The sequence below is a fragment of the Homo sapiens genome, chromosome 4, assembly GCF_000001405.40.
Source record: "Homo sapiens chromosome 4, GRCh38.p14 Primary Assembly".
NCBI classification, from domain to species: Eukaryota; Metazoa; Chordata; class Mammalia; order Primates; family Hominidae; genus Homo; species Homo sapiens.
Genome location: NC_000004.12, coordinates 145,218,270 through 145,220,698, shown reverse-complemented (window position 1 = coordinate 145,220,698; position 2,429 = coordinate 145,218,270). Strand labels below are relative to the sequence as shown.

The 2,429-nt window shown below is 36.7% G+C and overlaps 1 annotated feature.

The window, feature by feature from the left end:
• Positions 2,097-2,186: an enhancer, noted in NCBI's record as "active region_21964". NCBI's record gives its function as "activates an Ori minimal core promoter by ATAC-STARR-seq in GM12878 lymphoblastoid cells {active_cell/tissue: GM12878}" and the evidence as "EXISTENCE:reporter gene assay evidence [ECO:0000049][PMID:35858748]".

Genomic DNA, 2,429 nt, shown 5'->3' with positions numbered 1-2,429 from the left:
AGTTCTCCTTATGGAGATCTTTCACCTCCTTGGTTAAATATATTCCTAGGTATTTCATTATTATTTTTAGCTATTATAAATGGAATTGCCTTCTTGATTTGGTCCTCAGCCAAATTGGTATTGGTGTATAGAAATGCTAGTGTTTCTGTACATTAATTTTGTATCCTGAAACTTGACTAAATTTATTTATCAAATCCAAGAGTTTGTGGTGGTATCTTTAGGGTTTTCTAGATATAAAATCATATCATCAGTGAACAGGAATAATTTGACTTTCTCTCTTCCAGTTTGGATGCGTTTTATTTCTTTATCTTGCCTGATTGCTCTGGCGAAGACTTCCAGTAGTATGTTGAATAAGAGTGGTGAAAGTGGGCATTCTTGACTTGTTCCAGTTCTTAGAGGAAGTGCTTTCGACTTTTTCTTATTAAGTGTGATTTTGGCTGTGGGTTTGTCATAAACAGCCTTTCTTATGTTCAGGTATGGTACTTTTATGCCTAGTTTGTCAAGGATTTTTATCATGAAGGTATGCTGAATTTTATCTTTTAAAATTCATTTATCTAATGCGTTTTCTGTGTCTATGGAGATGATCATATGGTTTTTGTCCAAATTCTGTTTATATGATGTATCATATTTATTGATTCCTTTTCAAATATTTAAAAATCTCTAATTGGTTTAATGCAATTTCTGTCTTAGTATTATTTAAAGGGGAAATGGTTATTGATATATTTTTTAAATGCTAATAATTTCAGTGCCCATATTTCAAAGTCAAACAGATCTCAATTTGGATCATCACTTTAATCATAGGTAGAGTCTCCTCTACCTATGATCAATAAAAAAGAAAAAAACGATTCCTATTTTTTAGGGTTTTCATGAAGAGTAAATGTGGTAATTCATATAATACACTCAACAAATGTTAGTTCCCGCTTGTTCTTCATAAGCATATTTTTCTAGTCCAGTAAATAATCTTCTATATAAATCATAGAATGACAAGTGGGATAGTTTCTGGGAACCTTAGAGGGTCTGATGAGGCCTCCCTGGGAATCTTAGAGGGTCCGACGAGGCCTCAAATTTGAGATAGGTGGCATAAGGGCCCACACATTCAAAGAGAGAAATTAGACACATTCCTTTCAAGGTAGCCACACTGGTCCAGCAACCAGTGCCCACCAAAAGCCTAGCAATTCATTTGATAGCAGATTTCTTTCATGGAATCTGAAGGGTAGAGAATCACTGCAGATACACAGACCCAAGGTACAACCAGATCACAATGCAGTGTACAGTAAGAGTTCTTACAGAAACGTGACACGTGTCCCCTGAAATTTGGGAGCACAGAAGCTGGTGCCTGGATGAGCCTGAACACAGGAGGATGTCTTGAGCTGCCAGCAACATCAGGGCCAGCATGCAAAACAGCAGAGGGCCCACAGTCTTACATAGCTGTAAATATTCTGAGTTCCAATTGAACTAGTAACTTCTCATAGCAAAATAGGAATTGCTTTCATGAACCAAAGACAAACATATATATATACCTACAAAATGGAAAAGGAGTTTAAGGTTTTATTATACTTTTCATATTGATGAAACATTGTTTATGTAATTCAAACATATATGGATAAAAATATGTTAAACATGTTACTGCTATCAAACCATGAATCCTTAAGTGGCTGTAGCTGGAGGCAGAAATATTTGAATATGTTATTCAATTCTTTGGAATAAAATTGTGCTCATTTCAGCAGCATATATACTAAACACTGGAATAAAATTATATTTGAAGGTGGGGTACTTACTTCCCTTTATTATAAATAGTATTTGTTCTGTATACAAGTATAGGTAAATAAAACCACAGAGAGTAATATCATTGAACTAATAAACTATTAGTTTAGTTGAATCACATACTTTCTATGATCAAAAGCTATTATCTTTTCCCAAAACAGTTAAATACTTCTAGTGCCTTGGGATAGACTGTTACATAAATCAGCCAAAGATAGCCTCTGTATATTAGCCTCAAAGTTGGTTGTTTCTCCACTGCAGGCTGAGACCCATTAGCTCAAAAGCCCACTGACACCAAACTTAAATTTTTACACATCCAGTTATTTTAAAAATAGCCTGACCAAGAAAAGTTTAGCTGCTTAGAGCCTGTCTGCTTTGCATACCCCGCAAAATCTCACCCAGCAGCTGTTACCTATTCATAAGACAGGGCCGTGTAGTTATAAGGCCTCAAGCCAAGCTGGGCTCTCTGACCCAGAGACTCTATGTAAGCTTCCTCTCCAATCTCTCTCTCCCTTGTCCTCCTCCCTCACCAGTAAGGCTGTGAGGGACTTCTCCTCTCATGCAACCCTGGCCAAGCACCAACAAACTTGTCACTGCCTCTCTTGTGGACATCCTGTTCCTTGATCAGCCCCATATCCCTCGACCCCCTACATAGACTAATTACAAAT